At 39.1% G+C, this 22,412-nt stretch overlaps 1 protein-coding gene across 4 annotated transcripts in view; it reads left to right on the top strand.

The window, feature by feature from the left end:
• The window catches only part of APBA1 (amyloid beta precursor protein binding family A member 1), a 245,482-nt gene that overhangs the window by 33,538 nt on the left and 189,532 nt on the right, over positions 1 to 22,412 (top strand). The window lies entirely within an intron of this gene.

The following is a 22,412-nucleotide window of genomic DNA, read 5'->3' as shown; positions in this document are numbered from 1 at the left end:
AGATGTTCCAGGTTCATCCTTTATATTTTCTACTTTTGACCTGGAATCAGCTACTTCCCCTGAGAGGTTCTCTTAGTTTCTTTAAGTGAGAAATGGTATTTAATGACCTCAATCTATTGGGACTACTAGGTTGCTCATTATTTCTAGGCCAATTTAATGGGCAGAGTAAGATAAAATGCTTCACAAGTTCATATTGATCCTTCCCATTCAAATTCAGTACAACAGGATTACAACTCCCTTTTAAAAGAGAAAAATTCACATAGACTAATACAACTTCAGTGAGCCACAGAACTCAGTTGAGAATAGATGGATGAAAATAATGCCGAAAAAATGTCTTTTAACTGTAAACTATCTCTGTAAAATAGAAGTTTTTCTATTTCTAAATAATAATTTAGTGAACATGATGGGAGCTGAGGATTAGGTTATCATAAAAATCAAAACCTATATAAATTCTCTTATAGTTTTAGGGACCCTGAGAATGGGGCATGGACCCTGTTTTTTGAGAAGCTCTGTCCCTGTCTATATATTTCTGTTATTTTCATGTGACTTCATGGATTTATATTTTTTAATTTTTAGTTTTCAAAATTTAACTTTGAAATTTTAATCTTCAAAAATTTGATTTTCAAAATTCAAAATTTCAAAAACATACACCTCATATGTTTTTTCCATCAATCTTCTGAATGGGCACTGAGGCATCTGAAAGAAAAAGATTTTGCATATACTTGCCTAGACAGACACCAACTTTATCTTGTCTTAGTAAAAATTTTATGTGATTTTTAATCACTTCTGATTCATTTGCTGACTTGATACCTGAGTGGTTCTTTAAACTATTTAAACATGCACATGCCTGCATGCAAACACAAACCATCTGTTTAATCTTGTACACATAAATGAAGAGAGGGTCAGGGCAAGGGCTGTATTATTCACTTTATAAAGTATGCACTTGATGGCTCACACCTGTAATCCCAGCACTTTGGGAGGTCGAGGTGGACAGATCACCTGAGGTCTGGAGTTCGAGATCAGCCTGGCCAACATGGTGAAACCCCGTCTCTACTAAAAATACAAAAATTAGCTGGGCATGGTGGCGCATGCCTGTAATCCCAGCTACTTGGGAAGCTGAGGTAGGAGAATTGCTTGAACCCAGGAGGCGGATGTTGCGGTGAGCTGAGGTTTTGCCACTGCAATCCAGCCTGGATGACAGAGTAAAACTCCATCTCAAAACAAAAACAAAAACAAAAACAAAAACAAAATATGCACTTGAGCATTTCATTCATAAAGCTAGACACCCTAGTGCATTTAAAATATGTTACCTGTACAAAAATCTGTATACAGCTCTTTAGCAACATATCTCTTGAGTAAATAAAATTACTGTTCATCAGATGTGTTGTCTTTTGAAAGAAAGAAACAACACCATATTCAGAGGTTGCCAATGCTGCTCAGTTGTGAATTCTGCAAGAAGGCATTCATGGTAATGTCATGACTCATGAATTATGTGCTATATTTGAGCAGTGAGGTCAGCTGTTGTAGCACATAATTCATTATCTCACATTCATGATTTTTCTTCCTTTCTCTATTTCATATGTCCTGCCTTCCTTTTTTCTATGTAGAATTTCTCCTGTCTGGCCCAGTGTTGGGCATGATCCAGCTTTCCTATTAAAATGTAACTTCAACATTTATTTTTCATAATTGTCATTTTAAAAAGTATGACAGTTTTGAAGATATTATTTTATAGCACTTTTATGTGTTTTAGGTCCACATTAAACTGGCAGAAACTGTTATACAAGACAAGTACATCTTCTCTGCATTAGAAGTTGTGCTTGTTATTCAAACTGCTTCTCAGCCTGTGTCTGCTGTGCCACGGTATGGAAGCGTATTTCATCTGTTTTACCTATTTGAGCCAATGGTTTATCCCTAAAGCAGCCTACAAGGATTTATATTTTTTAATTTTTAATTTTCAATTTTTATGGGTACATAGTGGTATAAATATTTATGGGGTACATGAGATATTTTGATACAGCCATACAATGAGTCATAATTACATCACAGTAAATGGGCTATCCATCACCTCAGGCATGTATCTTTTCTTTCTGTTACAAACAATCCAATTATAGTGTCTTTGTTACTTTAAAAGGCATAATAAATTATTGTTGACTGTAGTCACCCTGTTGTACTATCAAACACTAGATCTTATTTATTCTATCTAACTATATTTTTGTGTCCATTAATCATCCCTACTTCATCCTCCCCAACCCTTCCCAGCCTCTTGCAGCTTTCATTCTATTCTCTATCTCTATGAATTCCATGGTTTTAATTTTTATCTCCCAGAAAAAAGTGAGAACATGTGAAGTTTATCTTTCTGTGTCTGGCTTATTTCACTTAACGTAAATACCTCCAGTGCCATCCCTGCTGTTGCAGATGACAGGATTTCATTTAGGATCTCATTCTTTTATATGGCTGAATAGTACTCCACTGTGTATATGTATCACATTTTTCTTTCTTTCTTTCTTTCTTTCTTTCTTTCTTTCTTTCTTTCTTTCTTTCTTTCTTTCTTTCCTTCCTTCCTTCCTTCCTTCCTTCCTTCCTTCTTTCCTTCCTTCTTTCTTTCTCTCTCCCTCCCTCCCTCCCTCCCTCCCTCCCTCCCTCCCTCTCTCTCTCTCTCTCTCTCTCTCTCTTCTTTTTTTGAGACAGGCTCTCACTCTGTCACCCAGGCTTGGGTGCAGTGGTGCCATCATGGCTCATTGCAGCCTCAACTTCTCCAGGCTCAGGTGATCCTCCCACCTAAGCCTCCCAGGTAGTTGGGACTACAGACACATGCCACCATGTCCAGGATTTTTGTACTTTTTGTAGAGATGGGGTTTCACTGTGTTGCCCAGGCTGGTCTCAAATTCCTGGGCTCCAGTGATCAGCTCGCCTCAGCCTCCCAAAGTGCTGTGATTACAGAATGTATTTTCTTTATCCATTCATCTGTTGATGGACATGTAAGTTGCTTCCAGATCTTGACTATTGTGAATGGTGCTGCAACAAACATGGGAGTGCAGATAGCTCTTTGATATGCCAATTTCCTTTTTGGGAGTATATACCTAGCAGTGGAATTGCTGAATCATATGGTAAGTATATTTTTAGTTTTTTGAGGAACCTCCAAACTGTTCTCCATAGTGGCTGTATTAATTTACAGTCCCCTCAACAGGACATAAGGGTTCCCATTTGTCCACATCCTCAGCAGCATTTGCTATTGCCTGTCTTTTGGATAAAAGTCATTTTAACTGGGGTGGGATGCTACCTCATTGTAGTTTTCACTTACATTTATCTGATAATCAGTGATGTTGAGCATCTTTTCATAAACCTGTTTGCCATTTGTATGTCTTCTTTTGAGAAATGTCAGATCCTTTGCCTGTTTTTAAACCAGATTATTAGATATTTTTCCTATAGAGTTGTTTTAGCTCTGGTTATTTATCTGCCATCATATGGGTAGTTTGCAAATATTTTCCCTCATTCTGTGGCTTGTCTCCTCACTTTGTTGATTGTTGCCTTTGCTGTACAGAAGCTTTTTAACTTGATGTGATCACATTTGTCCATTTTTGCTTTGGTTTCCTGTGCTTGTGGAATATTACTCAAGAAGTTTTTGCCTAGCCAATGTCTCAGAGAGTTTTCAGTGTTGGGTGCATATATATTTACAGTTGTTATATTGTCTTGCTGAATTGACCCCTTTATCATTATATAGTGACCTTTGTTTCCTCTTACAGTTTTTGTCTTGAAATATATGTTGTCTCATGTAAGTATAGCTACTCCTGCTTTTTTTTGGTTTCCATTTACATGGAGTATCTTTTTCCATTCCTTTATTTTCAGTCTGTGTGTGTTTTTATAGGTGAAGTGTATTTCTTTTAGGCAACAGATCATTGGGTCTTGTTTTTTTCATCCATTCAGCCATTCTAAGTTTTTTTATTGAATTGTGTCCATTTACATTAAATGTTATTATTGATAAGTAAGAACTCACTCCTACCATTTTGTTGTTTTTTTCTGGCTGTATTGTGGTCTTTCCTTCCTATCTTCCTTTTAGTGAAGGTTATTTTTATCTGGTGGTGTGTTTTAATTTCTTGCTTTTTTTGTGTGTATATGTTTTATGTTTTTTGATTTGGGGTTACCATGAGGCTTGTAGATAATACACTCATTATTTTAAACTGATCACAACTTAACACCAATTGCATAAACAAACAAGTAAAGAGAAAAGTAATAACAACTGTATGCTTTAACTTCATCCCCTGATTTTAAACTTTTTCTTTTCTGTTTATATCTTATTGTACTATGTCTTGAAAAGTTGTTATAGTTTTTTTGACTAGTTTATCTTTTAGTCTTTCTACTCAAGATATACTTATACACCACAATTATAATGTTATAATATTCTGTGTTTTTCTGTGCACTTACTATCACTAGTGAGTTTTGTGCCTTCAGATGATTTCTTATTGTTCATTAGCATACTTTTCTTTCAGACTGAAGTACTTTCTTTATCATTTCTTATAGGATAGGCCTGGTGCTGATGAAATCCCTTAGCTTTTGTTTGTCTAGGAACATCTTTATTTCTCCCTCATGTTTGAAGGATATTTTCACCAGATATGCTATTCTAGAATAATTTTTTTTCCTTCTGCACTTTAAATATGTTATGCCACTCTCTCCTGGCCTGTGAGGTTTCCACTGAAAAGTCTGCTGCCAGATGTATTAGAGTTCCATTGTATGTTGTTTGTTTCTTTTATCGTGCTGCTTTTAGGATCCTTTCTTTATTCTTGACCTTTGGGAGTTTGATTATTATATGTCTTGAGATAGTCTTATTTGGGTTAAGTCTCCTTGGTGTTTTTTACCTTCTTATACTTGAATATTGATATCTTTCTCTAGGTTTGGGAAGTTCTCTGTTATTATCCCTTTGAATAAACTTTCTACCTCTATCTCTCTCTCTACCTCCTATTTTAAGCCAATTACTCTTAGATTTGCCTTTCTGAGCTTGTTTTCCAGATATTATAGGCATGTTTCATTCCTTCAAGTTTATTTAGGACCTCAGAACACTTTAATCCGCAGTGGCAAGACTTGCAGGAACTCAAGTTGCAACGACCAGAATGGGCAATTCCCCTCTGGCTAGGGCTGGTCTAAATGCTCCCTCCATGGGTGCCACCTGAGTTCTGCCTGGTATTGCTTTCTGCTGCAACAAGGCAGCACTGAGTTTCAATGCAAAGTTCTTCAGTCACTGTGTTCTCCCTCTCCTAAGCTCAGATTCTCTCTCCACACCACATGGTCGTTGCCAGGGGATGGAGGAGGGGTGGTGTTGGCAATTCAAGACTGTCTTTCCTACCCTCTTCAGTGCCTCTTTCACTGATATGAAGTTATAACCAGATATTTTGATTGCTCGTCTGATTTTTGGTTCTTATGAAGGTGCTTTATTGTGTGGATAGTTGTTCAATTTGGTGTTCCTGCAGGGAGGATGATCAGTGAAGGCTTCTATTCAGCCATCTTGCTCTGCTTCCTCTTCTCATTTACTGAATAACTTTCTTACAGAGTTTGACCTAAAGATGCAATTAATGATTAGTTCAGATTGTGAAGCTGAAAGCTGATGCTGGTGTCACCTTCTAAAATTAAGCTTCTGGTTATAATTAAGAGCTGCAGCCTTGGAGCATTGAGTATTATCTGTGGCTTGGTTGCTAACAGGGAGAACTTCAGGATGCTCCTTTTAACTCTGGTTCTGCTAGACCAGCTTAGAAAAGGAGCAGTAGTATTAGAGAAACTTGTATTTGAACTTGTTCTCAAGGGCATGGTAGCAAATATCTCAGTGGATTGAATGCAGATGGAGAGGAAACTTTGATCATTTGAGAGATGGAGTACCAGCAAGTCCTCTCATCCTTCAAGTTGTCAGAGGAAATAACATTTACCTGAATGAAAGGTCAGTTGGGATGGCAAATACTGAGAAGATTAGAGTCCCTCACTTTGCCCTCCATGTGAGCTACCCAGCTCCAATGACAAAAGAGTTTGAAGTGGAGTGCTTTGGGAGAGAGTCTCAGCCTTCTGGCTCAACTGCTGCTTTCTGCTTATAGAAAGTATTCCAGGTGCTACCTTTCCTTCATGTTTTGCACGGCTGTATGTTGAAAAGCATGACCTATGTGTCAGTCTGGGTTCCAGCAGGAAAGAATCAGGTAATTTAGAAGAGTTTAATGAAGCGACTCTTTAAAAAGATATGTTCAGGACTACATAAAACAACAAGAGATTGTGAGACATCCTGAGGTTTGCAACAGTGGGGAGCTTTAACCCTATGTAGGCCTGAAGGGGCCAAGAGATTTAAAAAAATAATAAAAAAATAAAAATAAAATAAAATAAAATAAAAGACACAGTTACTGGTGGAAAAAAAAAAAAGGAGGGAAGATTCTCAAACCCTGCACAGAGTAGCTATAGCTGTTAGGGAGGGCAGCCTGGCAGGAGCTGTGGCCTGTAGGAGAGGCTGATGACCATCATGACCCAGCAGGGGGGGAGCTAGAGGAATCGATACTCTGACCTCACTTTCCTGCCTCTCTCCTATCTCCTGCCAATGTGTCCCATTGGCTTAACCCAACCAGAAGTGAAAGGACGAGGAAGCCCAATGATACAGAATATCATTCGTTTGGATCACAGAATTGAGAGGCAGTAGATCCAGAGAGGCAAATGGAAAGAAAATACCCAAAAACATCTATTTCCTTTAAAATATGGATTGTTCTATACAGCAAAATGATAAGTATGAACAAGTGACTTCATGTATCTGATTCCAAATCACTGAATGGGTGTGAAGTGAGAACCCCAAGGGTAGTTGAACTAATAATAGTAGTGGTCATTATTGTTGTGATCTTCATCTTTGTTGAGAGCTTACATTGTACCAGGAACTGTTGTAAACACTACATCTATATTAAGTCGTTTAGTTTCTAAAACAATCCCATAAGTACTATAATTAGTCTCATATTATATAGTTGAGGAAACTGCAGCACAGGAAGCTTAGGTCCTCCATACACAGTCTCGAAGCTCAGAAGCAGAAGAGGCAGGATTTAAATCCAGGCTGTAGGAATACACTCCTACCCTGTACTGACTCTCTCTCAATAAAGGAAAAAGTAAATAAGACACCTTTGGGGGAGGGAAGTTGGAGCATTCAGTAATGATTAATATTTGCTTCCTGTTGATAATTAGATATTTGAAGAGATTTAATGTGTTTGAAATCTCTTTCCAACTGAAGAATTTTGGGTTTATAAGGCAAAGAAAGTTAATTTGTTTGTGGGTCATTAACAGTGACTCCACCCAGAACAGTTTAATGATAGCTTTTCTTTCTCTTCCCTTTAATATTATTTTTCTTTCCTGTGTTATTCAGAGAAAAGGTGCTTTTTCTTTTTTCTATTTTTTTATTGTATTTATTTTTTATTTTTATTTTTTATTATACTTTAAGTTCTAGGGTACATGTGCACAACATGCAGGTTTGTTACATATGTATACATGTGCCATGTTGGTTTGCTGCACCCGTTAACTCATCATTTACATTAGGTATATCTCCTAATACTATCCCTCCCCAACCCCACGACAGGTCCCAGTGTGTGATGTTCCCCACCCTGTGTCCAAGTGTTCTCATTGTTCAATTCCCATCTATGAGTGAGAACATGCGGCATTTGGTTTTCTGTCCTTGAGATAGTTTGCTGAGAATGATGGTTTCCAGCTTCATCCATGTTCCTACAAAGGACATGAACTCATCCTTTTTTGTGGCTGCATAGTATTCCATGGTGCATATGTGTCACATTTTCTTAATCCAGTCTATCATTGATGGACATTTGGATTGGTTCCAAGTCTTTGCTATTGTGAATAGTGCCGCAATAAACATGCGTATGCATGTGTCTTTATAGCAGCATGATTTATAATCCTTTGGATATACACCCAGTAATGGGATGGCTGGGTCAAATGGTATTTCTAGTCCTAGATCCTTGAGGAATCGCCACACTGTCTTCCAGAATGGTTGAACTAGTTTACAGTCCCACCAACAGTGTAAAAGTGTTCGTATTTCTCCACATCCTCTCTAGCACCTGTTGTTTCCTGACTTTGTAATGATTGCCATTCTAACTGGTGTGAGATGGTATCTCATTGTGGTTTTGATTTGCATTTCTCTGATGGCCAGTGATGATGAGCATTTTTTCATGTGTCTGTTGGCTGCATAAATGTCTTCTTTTGAGAAGTGTCTGTTCATATCCTTTGCCCACTTTTTGATGGGGTTGTTTGATTTTTTCTTGTAAATTTGTTTAAGTTCTTTGTAGATTCTGGATATCAGCCAAAAGGTGCTTTTTCTGAGCTTCAGGAGGACACTAACAGCAGAGTAGCATCTACCAAGTACCAGGCATTGGCCAGAGAACTTGGGAAGGATAAATCGTTTAATCTTAATAATAGTCTTGCAAGGCTGCTGTTAAAAATCCCTATTTTACAGGTGAGAAGACTGAGTCCTGGAGATATGTGTCTTGCTCAAGGTCATTCAGTTAAAAAGCATAAGCCCTGACAGGTCTCACTTGTTCTGAGGCTCTATCTTCTTTACTGACTGTAGTGTCCCCTGGAGACTAAGTGATTTGCCCTGGGCCAAGGCCATCAGGGCTGATGAATGAGCTTTCAGTTAACCAAAGCCTTCACGTATTTTTTTCACATGAACACCTATGTTTATTTATGGGTTACTCCTAAGAAGAGAAGCTGAAGAAAGGCCACAGATACAGGAGAAAATGAGGATGGTGGTATTGTCATGGAGAGAGGGGAGTGTTTCTAGAAAGAGAGCCGTGTGCCAGAGGAGCAGAGAGCCTGATAAGTTAAGGACAAGTGTCCTTTGCATTTGGACATGTGGAGATCATTGGTGACCTTCAAGAGAAGTGTTGGGGAGTGATCCAATTGGAGTAAACTTCAGGGTAAATAGGAGGGCCAGGAGGTAGAGGCAGCACATCTGGACCCTTCCTTGGAGAAATGTAGCTGAGAAGGAAGGTAGATATTCAGTGGCGACCAGGAGGGTGGAATGGTTTTCTAAAGACAGAAGATATTAGAATGTGTTTGAAACTGATGAGCAGAGTCCATAGACAGGAAGAGGATAACAATGTAGCAGAGAGGGGGAGCAATTAGGGATCAAAGTTGGCCTGTTGACTCAATTCTGTGCGATCTGGTCCCTGCCCATGTTGCTGGCCCCGTCCCCTGATCGTTATGCCCAGTCATTCTTCTTTCTGTTCCTCCATGCTGAACTCAGTCTTGCTTTAGCACCTTTGCATTTTTGGTTCCCTCCTTCAAGTCTGCTCTGATGTCACTTGCTTACTGGTGCCTACCCTGACTGCCCCATTTTGAATTGTGACCCACTGCCCCTTCACATACATACTTCCACTCGCCTTTTTCCTGCTTTTTTTTTTTAATATAGCACATATTACCTTTTTTACATGGTATATAAGTTAATACTTATTATGACTTGTGATATTATCTCTTTTCCCTAGTAGAATGTGATCTCCATGATGTTGGGAATCTATATCTGCTTTGTTCGCTAATGTATTTCAAGCACCTGGACACTGTGTGGCCGGGAGTAGGACCTCACTAATATGTTCGTTTGAATTGACTTAACTCTCCACTATCTGAAATTACCTTAATCAGTTGTTTGCTTGCTTATTAATTATTTGTCCCCTAAACAGAATGCGAGCAGGGAAAGCAGGGACCCTGATAGTCTCATTTACTGGGGTAACCCCAGCACTAGAACTGGGTCAATACATAGCAGTGCTCAATGAATATGTAATATGTTGAGTGACTGATGGTTATATCCCCTAACTCGACTGAACTCCCAGGCTCTAGACCTTTGGCTTGCCTGAAGCACAGCTGACTGTCAATCTGGACTGTCAGTTTCCAGACCTTTGCCATGCTTTGTCCCTCTGGAAATTTCTGGAACTTCAATATTTTACCATAACACAGAATGTGGATTCTGACTTCATCTTATGCAACTTGTTGTCATCATTTCATAGATATTATGCCTGTTTTTACTTCATGTGAATTCTTAATGCCTGTAGATATTTAATAAATATTGCTCAGAAATGAGGTTAATCATGAACTATTAGTGCTAAAAGGAAGTTTAGATAGTATTTAAACCTGTAGCATATATAATGGTTAATATCAGGCATGAGTTAACATTAACATCAGCTGTCTAATCATAATGTGAAGTTAAAATTTGAGAATTAAATATTCTAAATATTAATCTTGTCATTAATTAAATACTTGATGCTGGCATTGGATAAATTAAGGAGAAGATTGATGGAATCCTGAACATTTATTGGATATGTTTAAAAGTTATAATTGGTTTCAATTCAGACTTTAGCTCCCTTATTATAGGGGTCACATATTCTGAAGTTACCTTTTGTATAGTTTTCTACAAGGAATCTTACGTGGTTAATTTTTGAAATTGTCATTCTATAAAAAGATATGAAGAAATCGTTAAAAGCCTAAAAAATATAATTGTGGGTTAATATAAGAGGAGATTAACACATGAAATATCACAGCCCTGTAACAATGCCTTTAAGAAGGTCATATTAGGCATTCTTTCTTTTTAACTCACTTTTACTCCAGAACTATTACATGAGTTCACAGGTATGGAGATTTAATAGAAACTTATTTGCAAAAACATGATTTATAGGAAGATGAAGACAAATTGATTGTCTCTCACTGTTCTGCACTCCTAGGAATTTTAAGTCAAGCTACTTAGAAGTTTCCTGTATAGTATAATAAGATTTTAGAACATGTCACTATGCCCATTATTTTTCATTATCTGCTTAAGAAGTTCTTCTGGTTAATAAGCTTTTCATCGCAGAACCTAGATCCTCTAGAAAGCTAATAGATATTCTTTGGAATGGTTGCCATGGCACTCAGGTGACTCTGCCTGTCACTGTCTGAATATTTCTTCCCGTGATTATTTTCAGAGCGGGGTTAGCCCAGAACTCTCCAGCCAGACATAGACTGGCTCCAATTCACTTTAAGGATGGGCAGTTTAAATTAGACTTTTGACCTTTATTTCTTCTCATAGTGTATTAGTCTTCTATTTCTGCATAACACATCACCACAAATTTAGCAGCTTAAAACAATACACATTCTTTATCTCACAGTTTCCATGGGGCAAGAGTCTGGGCACAGGTCAGGGTCACAATCAAGGTGTCTGCCCTGGGCTGCATTCTCATCTTGAGGCTTGGCTGGGGAAGAAGCTACTTGCATGCTCATTAGTTTGTTGGTAGAAATTATATTTTTTGTGGCTGTATGACTGAGGACTTAGCTTTCTGCTAACTGTAGACAGGAGTCTACCTACAGCTCTTTGCTGTGTGGCTGCTTACCTCATCAAGCCAGCAAGAAGATCCTCTCACTCCAACCCACCAAACCATGTCTTATATGGTAGTTATGGGGGTGACTTCCCATCATCTTTGTTCTATTCTATTGATTAGAAACAAGTCACAGGTCACACCTGCCATCAAAGGAAGGGGATTACACAAAAGCATACACAGGAGGAGGGAGGGTCACTGGGTCACCTTAGGGTGTGTCTACCATGTTCAGGTATCTCATTCCCCCACCAGTGCCTGTTAGCCGTTGCATCACACCTTTTAATATAGTTAATGGTGACTACAAAGGGAGGAATTTCAGACTTATTTTTTCTAGTTGTGGGACCAATTTGTGTTTCATTCTCAAGCTTCTTTCTGTGTTCTGGGATCTCTCTTGGTTACTTTAGGTGTGGGAGAGAGTCCCTGAGGATAATGGAGTTAAACAGAGAATTTGGTCTTGAGAAAGGGAAAGTTCGATTCTAGAGTTTTTGAGTAGCCATCGTATTTGTTTCATGGCATTAACACTATTTCCACTTGGTTTCTTGTTATGTCACCCAGGAAAGTCGTTTAGGTTATCACAACAAATTGACACCCAGATGGCACACACACACCATCAGAGGAGTCCTACAGTCAGGGTGGGAACTGGTCCAGATGAACTCAGTGAGCATGTCCTACCCACAAATTATCCTTTTTTGCTATAAAATTAGAAAGTCTGCCTTCCCATGCAAGCCAGCTGGGGGAGGATATATTCTCTAGAGATCTAGTTAATGGAAGAACTATTTTTCACCATCTGACTGAGAGAGAGAAGGAGAAATAAAAACCCTAGGGTGAATCTTACTGCATTGAACTATAATGAACCTCAAGACAATCAAATAAGATGACAACAACAACAAAAAGGCAACCCTTCACAGTTGAAAAAACAGTGTAATTTTTTGGGTATTTAAAAACTTCTCTCTCACATTTAGAGTGCCCATATTCTTGGAAATTATTATGTAGCATGTTTCTGTTTATATTCTTTCTAATGACCTGCTTTTGAAGTGCCTTAAGAAATGCCCACAGAGTGCATTAGTTTCAGAATAAAGAGTAGGTCAGCATTGTATGAGGTTTTTGAATAGTGACTGGAAGGCACTTTTAAGCATTGACAGCCAAAATTACTGAGGTAGAAATCTGCAAAAGTAAAGGTATTATTTAAAATAATAACTCGGAAATTGTCCAAGTTTTTTTTTTTTTTCTGTAGGTGCTACTCTTCTCCCACTGGCCTCAGGATTATAAGTTTGAGGGCTTACTGGCTGACATTAGTAGGTAAATAAATATGGGCCAAGATGCCATTGGCTTTTGTGGATAGCAATGTGCCTTAGGACATGAACATAAAATCATAATAGTTCTTTCTTTTCTTAGGGTTTGAAAGCTTATGTTTCCATTTCATTCTCTCCAAGAGATTTGGCCAAGTCTTAAAGAGTAAATTTATATAAATGGACAAAAGTGCCAGGTGCTTCTCAGAAATTCATTGACAGATAAAGGGGGCAGCATGTTTTGTTTTTTTCTATTCCATATTTTTCAGGAGATGTTTGTTTATGCAGTTTAGCTTACAGTTCTTTCTTATTCTTGTATATTGCGATACACACGATGAGTATGTGACTCTTCATTTTTAATGGGAAGAGTGATTACATTAAAATGGAGAATACTGACTTGAATTTTATTTAATGGATTCCCCCGTTGGCTTTTATATCATCCTTTAAAAGTACTAACAGTTCCTAATGTACATTTGTGGGGAAAAAAAAGCCAAAAACAAACAAACAAACAAACAAACAACAATAACAACAACAAGACAGTTTATTTCCATGCAATAGAAAGACCCCTGTGGCCAAAATCTGAGGCACTGCTGTTTACTTTTTGGTCCATGCTTGTGGCTGAAGCTCAGTTTGTCTTCAGCATAGCCACATCTATCACCAATATGCTTGCTGCTCTTCACTGACCTTATAAGCTTGTGAACCACATTTAGAATCTAGCAGCTGATTCTAGAAAAATAGTAACCTCATCTAAAGGCTTGAACAAAAATTTGACATGACCTGTACTTAACAAATTGCTTTTTCCTAAACCTAGAATGACATTTAAATGGTAGTTAATGTTTGAGTCTCCCCCAGTATCCAAGTTAATCCCCTTATCAAGTAACTCAGATAAAGCCTTTTTGGACCATCAGGGTAGCACTGGATATACTGCCCAAAGAATGTGCTTAAGAATTAATCTGCTGAATTTATTAACAGAGAGTAATTTAGGCAGTGATGAACTCAAGCCCAGTGACATATGTTGCTCTCTTGTATATTCAAGTTGATGGTTGTGCATTGAGTCAAAACCTCTTAAAGTCGTTGGAATATGTTTCAAATTTTAGTAATGCTTTTCTAATAATATGCTTAATATTAAATTTTACAAAGAACAAATGAAAAGCTTGAGATATATTTTAACTAAATTAGCCCAGCAGAGGACAGTGATTTAAACTAATTGAGTCTGTGAGTGGCATATCTCTAAGCCTAATTAATGCTTGAACCCTAAGATTTCTTCAAGATTGAACATTAATCAGGCAACCTCAGTGTTCTCCATATTCACCGAGCCAGCAAATCTTTTTGGGCCTCCTATGTGCTAGGAACAGTTCTAGGGACAAGGGATGCTGCAATGCTCAGTTCAGACAAGATCCCTCTTCCTGTGAAGCTTGTATTTCATTTGAGGAAGAAAATAATGAGCAAAAATGTAAATGTTCAATAAAACTATCAGCTGCAGTTAAATCCTATGCAGAGAATTAATTAGGGCATCATGACAAAGAGTGATCATACAGCTACATTAAACTGGGTGGGACAAGAAGGTCTCAGTGAAATATACAGACTTTGAACAAAGATCCCATTGTCAAAAAGGAGCAGTCCTGGGAAAACATTCCAGAAGGAACAGTGGTGCAAGCTCGATGTGTTTGAAGACAGGTACAGGCTTTTGTGGCCAATGTACTAGGAATGGGGAAAGTGGTCCCAAATAAAGACCATGTTGTGCAGAGCCCTATAAGACAGAGGAAGGAATTTGAATTTATCTTAAGCACAGATAAAATCCAAAGATCTCTGGAATGTGAGCTCCATGAAGGAACTATGGAGGCAAGAAACCTATTAGCAGGCTGTTGCTGTGGGTTGGTTGTTAGCAATTAAATATCTGTAACAAAGGCTGGTCATGCCCTATTTTTCCTTTTCAATAGGAATAAAAACCAGGAAAAACATGTCTCAGTTTGACAGTGGAGAAAGAGAATTTGATGCACTTTTAATTTATTGTTGATGTCTATCTAAACTCACCTTTGCACCTGGGTTTCTCTGCATTTGTGAGAACTTGAACTGTAAATCATCATGCTTTGTTTTAAAACCCTTGCTCAAGAACCAAGTTTTGGTCATGCCATTGTAAATTTGTTGCAAAGACTGATGTAATTTCTTGGAAACTTGACTTCAATGGATTGCCCTCTAAAATTAGGACATATTTGAATGTCTTCAAATGAGGCAGGTCTAATTCAGGTGAGAGTGAGAAACCAGTCATTTTGACCTGCTGGGCACCTCACCCAAGCTCTGTGGAGTCATGGTGGAGGTGACTATATTCAATACCTAGTGAGGATACCAGCAGGGACTGAGCATAGCCCCTCATGCTTTCAAAGAAAAATGCTGTTTTGTGGGCACTTTCTTTAATAATTAATAATAGAAGAAAATTAAATTTTTGTAACTATAAAATTTGTTTCAAAATTGAATGTGTTTTTCATTTGGGATCTTGCTTGGGTCTGAGCAAACTGCCTGGCACAGTAAGAATGAACATTACTTGCTCTGTAAGTGTGTAGGATGTTTTAATCTTAGGCATATTTCTGCCCATCCTTATGTTGGTCTTATGCAGTGTGGCTGCCTATTTAAAACTCACTGTATTGTAAATTCGTGCTGCTCTTTATTATATTTAGAGACTGTTTGATTTTCACTGAAAGCTGTCCCAAACTGCACAGTATCATAATCTGAACCTCTGGGAACTTTTTATTTCATATTCGGAATCCTCAGAAGCAATTTGCCAGCATGTTCTAAAGATAGGTTAAAAATGAATGAAAATGGAAAAAAATGGATTATGATGATTTATGTTTTAAATTTTATGTTGCTTTTACATTTCTAAAAATACACTTATACCTACCTCATGTATATCCATGTCAGAGAGGTATTACAGCAAGATAAGAGAGGTATTACAACACACAAAGGGAGAATTAGACGTTAAGATGACCTACTCAAGGTCATAAAGCTAAAAGCAACAAGCAATCCACCAGTTTTGTTTTGAACATCCTCAAGAGTGTCAACTGTGTTCTCCAGTGTTGGGGTCAAATATGTGCATCCACATGGCCAGGGAGCCTGTTAGAATGTGGGTTCCTGGACTCCACCCCAAGCCTCCCAAACCAGACTCCCAAAGTTTGGAGTTTAGGAATCTGCATTTTTACACACCCTCCCGAGCTGGTTTTTATATGCATTAAAATTGAGAACAATTGGTGTAAAGAACAATTAGATCTAGTCAGGGCCAGCTCTTGCAAAATTGTGAGGTTGGGGAGCATTTTCTTTGACCCATCCACTTCCTGCTTTAAATCGTCTTCTTCCCTCTGTGACTTCAAGCTTGTCCCCAGCTGTCTTCTATCAAACCCTCTTTGAGAAGAGGATATGCAAAAGCTAAAAGTACCACTCGTCCATAAGTTTTCTGCTTTTTAACAGAGAGCAAGTCTTTAAAAAAAAAAAGAAAAAAAAGAAAATCTATAGGAGAAGTGGAGGAGGCACCATTTGGGAATAAAGGAAAATGAGGCTCTCCTTGAACCTGCAGAATCACCCTTATCTATTTCATTGCAGCCTCAGGTCAGTAAACCAGAGTAAATGAAAGCGCAGTAGACTCCCAGCACTCTCCCCCAAGATCCATGTTTCAAAACAACTGTAGATTGATAATGTAGGTTTTTGGGTGGGGTGCCTATGAGCTGCTCTTAAACTTGCTGTTTTCCAGAGTTTTCAAGTACAATTTTGCCATTTGAGCCAAAGATCATGTCAGATCTTTCTAGTGGGACCCCTGGACAGTCTTTGGAGAGGACCCCTAGCTCTGCCAAGAGTGTGGACACTTGAATTATGAAGTCATTCTTGCAGATTCTGTTGCTGCCTGTGCTAATCATGAAGACAATGCATGCTGTTTCTATGTGCTGTGATTGCCAAAACCACAGCTGATAATGAGCTGCTTTCCAAACATCAGAAGGGTTTGTCATGAGAAGTTGGGAAATTATACCAATCATCCCTACCAAAATTTCCAGGGAAAAATCTTTAGCTTGACAGGAATTTAGTTCACAGGCTCTGAATAAGTTGTTCTTGGACGTACAGAAGTACAGACACATTGCAAGGCCCGAGGCTGCAATGACATAGATGACGTGAGGGTGACTCTGTAGGTTCAAATAAGGCCTTATTTCCCTTTATTCCCAAATGCCTCCTTTACTTCTCCAATAGATTTTCTTTTCTTTCTTTGTTTCTTTTTTTTTTCTTATGACTTGGTCTCTATTAAAAAGCCACTTGGAATAAAAAGGTATAAAAACAGACTTTGATTTAATTTGCACTGGCCTTAGATGCTCTTGTTACTGAATGACTTCAAAGACCAGGAACATTTTCCAACAGCACTTCCCTCTGCTAATGGAAGAACCCATGAAACCTAGCCAGACCTACCTGCTCCTATAAGGAACTAGACACAGACATGCTCATATTTAATCACCTTTGGAGATTAAGCCCTTGGTGTAGGATTCATTTCTTTGTTTCACTTTCTAGAGATGATTTTGCTGGAGGAGATGTGTGGCACACCTGAGCTTTGCTCTGCCTCTTACACACTGTGAGTCATAGGGCAAGTGGGCTTATTCTGCTGGTTCTTATTTTTATCATCTTTGACAGGAGGAGAATGGATTTAATCCATAGATCTCACATATGGGTGACATCCCCAGATTCCTGGGGCCCATCCCAGACCAATTGAGATAATTTCAGAGTCTGGGCTTAAGGAGTCTGTGTTTTTTGGAAAGCTCCCCAGTTGATTTTGATGCTCCTCAGGTTTGGTGGCCACTATCAGGTGATCTTTAAGATCCTTCTGGCTCTGATGGACTGGGAGGCAACATCTATGCTATTTATCAGTTTGCCATCTGGGACGGGAGAACATGGTTTGTTGCTAATCATAGCCAACACTGCGTTCCAATTAACTGCTTTATTTCTGCCAAATGCTATGGTTTATTCACTAGTAGGAAGCAGATTAAAGATCACAAAACATTTGCCTTAGGAGGCTTCTGAGCCTGACTCGCTTGTATTTTTCTGTTATATTCATAAAGAAGAGTTGTAATGATGGCCAATACCCACTTAGTGCCTTGTGCCAGGAACTGTTCTATTAATAAGTACTTGATATATATATGAATTTATTTGATCCCACAACTGCTGTTGTGAATATTGTGAAGCTGTTATTGTACATGTTTTACAGATGTGGAAACTGAGGCACAAAGAGAATAAATAACTTGCTCATAGACCCACAGTTAATAAGTGATGGGCCAGGACTTGAACCGGAGCAGTCTGACTCAAGAGCCATGCACTCAGCCACTGCACCATACAGTTTCTCCATGGATAAGAAGTTGTCATTGGCTTTTATGCTTTTACTCTGGATTTCTAGGCTGGTTGACTGGAAAGGTGGTTGGACATCACTCAACATAGGGCCACAGAGAGGCCACAGGTTTGGCAGGAATTTCAGTGGTGTTGAAGTACCAGAAAACAAGGTAATGAAGTCATTATTGTGCTACATTTAATATAATTCACGTAATCTTACATGAAGTGATACCTGTGGAGCTAGCACTTTAAGAAATCCCACTGGCATCAAGATGACTAGATGGCCAGGCAGCCAGCACCTTTAGGTTTCCGTATTTTTAGTTAAATTCCCTTCACTGGTGATAATAACAGCTACCATTTTATGAATGCTTACTTTGTGCCAATCTCTGATTTTTACCAAAAGTCCTATCCAACTCCATTTTACAGATCAGGAAACTGAAGCACTGAGAGGTTGTGTAACTTGCCCACCATGCTACAGTTAATATAAGGCAGAGCCCAGGTTCAGTCTCAGCTCCCGGGCCTTTGGATTTAAGCCCACATGCAGGACCGCCGCATGCTGCTACCCAAGCCTTGCTGCTGCTGCTTCATTTCTGGAGCTTCACTGTCGTCCAACTGTGCAGCTCCTTCGTGTGACCGCACCAGCCCGAGCCTGCACACTGTAACACCTCCCTCCATGGCATCTCCATGCAGAGATGGAGTGAATTTAAATGACTGGGAAAGGACCCTGCAGCCACTTTCGGACCCCTTGGGTTTCTCCTTGCTATCTGTAGAAGGAAGAGGTGGCACTCTGTCTCTCAGTTTTGTTTTGTTTTTTTTGAGATGGAGTCTCGCTCTGTCGCCCAGGCTGGAGTGCAGTGGTACGATCTCGGCTCACTGCAACCTCCGCCTCCCGGGTTCAAGCAATTCTCCTGCCTCAGCCTCCCAAGTAGCTAGGACTACAGGCACATGCCACCATGCCCAGCTAATTTTTGTATTTTAGTAGAGACAGGGTTTCACCATGCTGGCTAGGCTGGTCTTGAACTCCTGACCTCAGATCTGCCTGCCTCGGCCTCCCAAAGTGCTGGGATTACAGGTGTGAGCCACCATGCCTGGCCGGCACTCTGTCTCTCTGACCATCAGTCTCTAGGGATAAGCTCAACCTCACTGGCATGCTGGCCACAACCCATTTTCCTAGCTTAGTGTGTACCTTATATCCTCTCATTTTCTTGCTGAAGACTGGTAATACCAATTTGCAGGGGGAAAATGCGGCTAGAATTTATTTCAGACTTTGCCCTGGCTTTGAGAATTAAAAAAAGAAAACGACTAGACCGTCCTCAGGAGAAATTGGAAGCTACCAGTACTAACTGCCAGATCTAACGTGGTGAGGGAGGAAGAGGCAATGCTGGGAGCAAGGACCTAGTTTTCCAGAAGACAGACAGGGCTTTGAGACCAAGATGTTAAGGGAAGACTGTTTTCAGTTCAGTATTTAATTGCTTGTTTTGGGTATTGGGAATCTTTTGTTCCCTCATGTTCTAGAGATTTCAGGTAACTTTTCACGTAGAAACCGAGAATACAAATTTTTATTTTTATCAGAAAATGCTGGCTGTGCGAACATGGAATGGAAAAGTTGCAGTTTATGTCATTCAGCAGAACATAATGTGTGTGTATGTGCATCTCTGTTACATATGTGGGGGCAGTCTGACTGCCTCTGTCAATGCGAATAATTAATTTAGACCACATGCATGAAACTCCAGAATTTAAGACATGACTCTGTGTTATGCTCAAACTTTCTCATAAGGCAGGTTTTATTGTTTAAGCAGGGAAAAATTCAACTTGGCTTCTCTGTTTTTCCCAATCCAAGCACAAGTGAGTTGGGGAGGGAGCCTGTGTCTGAATAACTGATTTTTTGTGTGCTCTTTGAGACAATGGTAATAATGATGCCCTGCCTTTGTATGGCTCTTGATAGTTGGCAGAGCCCATCTGCATACTTTGAGTTTTAAAACACCCATGTGAGATAAGCAGGAGAGAGATTCATTTGTTCTTTATGGCTGAGGGAATAGAGATTCAGAGAGGTTAAGCAGTTTGCACAAGGTCACACAGCTAGTAAATAGTAGGGCCGAAATAGCAAATGTGTTTATAGTATTTATGTGTCTCATATTTCCTTCCCTAATTTACAAAGACCTTTCCAGTTGCTTCTATAGTTCTGTCAGTCTTCATGAATGACTCAGAGTGTGTTTTCAAAGTAATCTGTATATTATGGGGTCATTTTCATGAATGTAATTTCTTTTATTATGGCTTTTTAAGATATCTGTTTCCTTCTCTCCACTCCTAGATAACTTCCTTGAGAGTGGGGACTTAAATTTCCTTTCAATTGCCTCAAAATAACAAATACTCTGTTTCATTAAACAGAGTTGACTGATGTGGTTTTGTAGTCCACAATGCTACTTAGAACCCCCTTAAATGAAAAGAACCAAAATATGTTAGGTACCTGCCATATGCCAAATACTTCACTAGCTGCTCTGCAGACTGCATCTCCATTAACTTTTCACACAGCCCATGGGGTAGATATTGTCCTTATTTTGAAGATAAGAGGTTTGGAAAAGTTGAGAGACTTAGACCTAAGATACCCCAGCTAGTAGGGGGCAGGGTTACGATGTAAATCCATTTCTTCTGCCTCTAACAAGTTTTTACCCTTTTCCTCTATGTAATGTATCTTTAAAAACAAAGGCTGAAAATATATTGCTAAGAATTTCTTATGACAAATCTTGAGCCCTCACCTCTCTTTGTTTCAGTGAATTCACTCTCAGGCTGGGTTCTTTTCTGGCCTGAGCCATGATGGCTCCTTGTCTCTATCTGGTTCTGCCCTACCTGGTGCCCTTGTCTGATTCTACTTGTCATAACCGTCTGATTTTTCATAGCCACATCAGCCTTGGTTGAGTATGACTGGCCGCCATCTTGATTTACTTCATACCTCCGTTTCATTGGTCTCTTTCCATGGAAAGTATCATATCCTTCCTCATAGAACAATTATTCAAGTACTTGCCTTCATTAGCATCCTTCCATATTGTGAGCTTTGAGTTGGTTGGAAATTATTCTACTTACACTTTAATCATTCCAGCATCTAGAACAGTGTCTCTTGTGCATCGCGCAAACACACTAAATGTTGAGTGAATTAAATTGAGTCAAGAGAAGCTGAGTGGTTCCTAGAAAAGTCACTGGTGTCAATGCATGGCTTCTGTAGGGAGCCAATGAAGAGTCTGAGAAGACCTGGGGATGTTCCACCAAGTTAGTGTCTATTGTGTGTGTTTACCAGAGTGCCTGAGCTGTGTTCAATTTCTATGGACCTGTACTAAAATGACTAGCTCGGAAATGATAAATATGCAACTTGCATGGCGCCATTATCCCATCCCACACCTGAGGCAAACAACACTATTCAGTCATGGTACTGTTCCTACACAGTATTCCAGGCATACATTACCAAGCAATTAAAGTTGAGATTTAAGAAAATGTATTTGCTGCTCTTAGGTTAGTCTACCTAGGAGGGCTGTGTGTGTGTGTTTAAGCTTGATGATGAAGCATGGGGAGGCCAGAACTTTAGCACTGCTAGCTTTATGTCCATAAACACCCAAACTTGATCTTCTGATTGGCAAGAAAGTAAGATTTAAAAGGAGGGAAAGTCGCACAACAGTGTGAGTGTACATAATGCCATTGTATATCTAAATATGGTTAAATCGGTAAATTTCATATTATATATTACCACAATTTTTAAAAAATGAGATATAAATCTCAAAAATTTGGTGTTGACAGTTGTCTGGCTGAACAGTAGGAATGAGTAGAGATCTGGGGAGAATGAAGGTGTAGTTCCCGTTTTTTTTCCCCATGACATTCCCATATTCTCAACAATTTCCTAAGCCTACAGCAAATCTGTATCATGATCTGGGGTGAATTTATTAAACTGAATTTCTGGCTCTTAAGGTGGAGGTGTACAGGGAATAGTCAATAAATATTTGTTGGTGTTGGTAATGGTCAAATCTAGGCTGGATACACACATTCTACTAGATTTGCCATTATTGATTATCCAGGATAAATATAGTTGCCTAGTTTCTACACTATGCCATGTTGGTAGTATATATTTTCTCCTCCATGTGATATTCAGCTTATGGAAGTCACCACTACAATATTAATCTTGTCAACCTAAAGAGCAAGCAGAGAGGTATACTCTCTAAAAGAAAATGATATTTATTTGGTAATAGGCATTGCAGTGGGAACACACATGCCATAGTAAGCTATGTGCATATTCAGGGAAGTGAAGGAAGACAAAGATTCTTAAAGGAAAAGTGAGGAGGGTTATATAGTTGTTTTGAGATGATTATCCTTGGCTACAAGAATCAACAACAAGGATGGCACCAGTCTGAGGTTGGACAGGCAGTTGCTGGGCAGATGTCCTCAC

Source organism: Homo sapiens, chromosome 9 (genome assembly GCF_000001405.40).
Source record: "Homo sapiens chromosome 9, GRCh38.p14 Primary Assembly".
Lineage (NCBI taxonomy): Eukaryota > Metazoa > Chordata > Mammalia > Primates > Hominidae > Homo > Homo sapiens.
The sequence above is the reverse complement of the archived record's forward strand: the minus strand, read 5'-3'. Positions and strand labels throughout refer to the sequence as shown.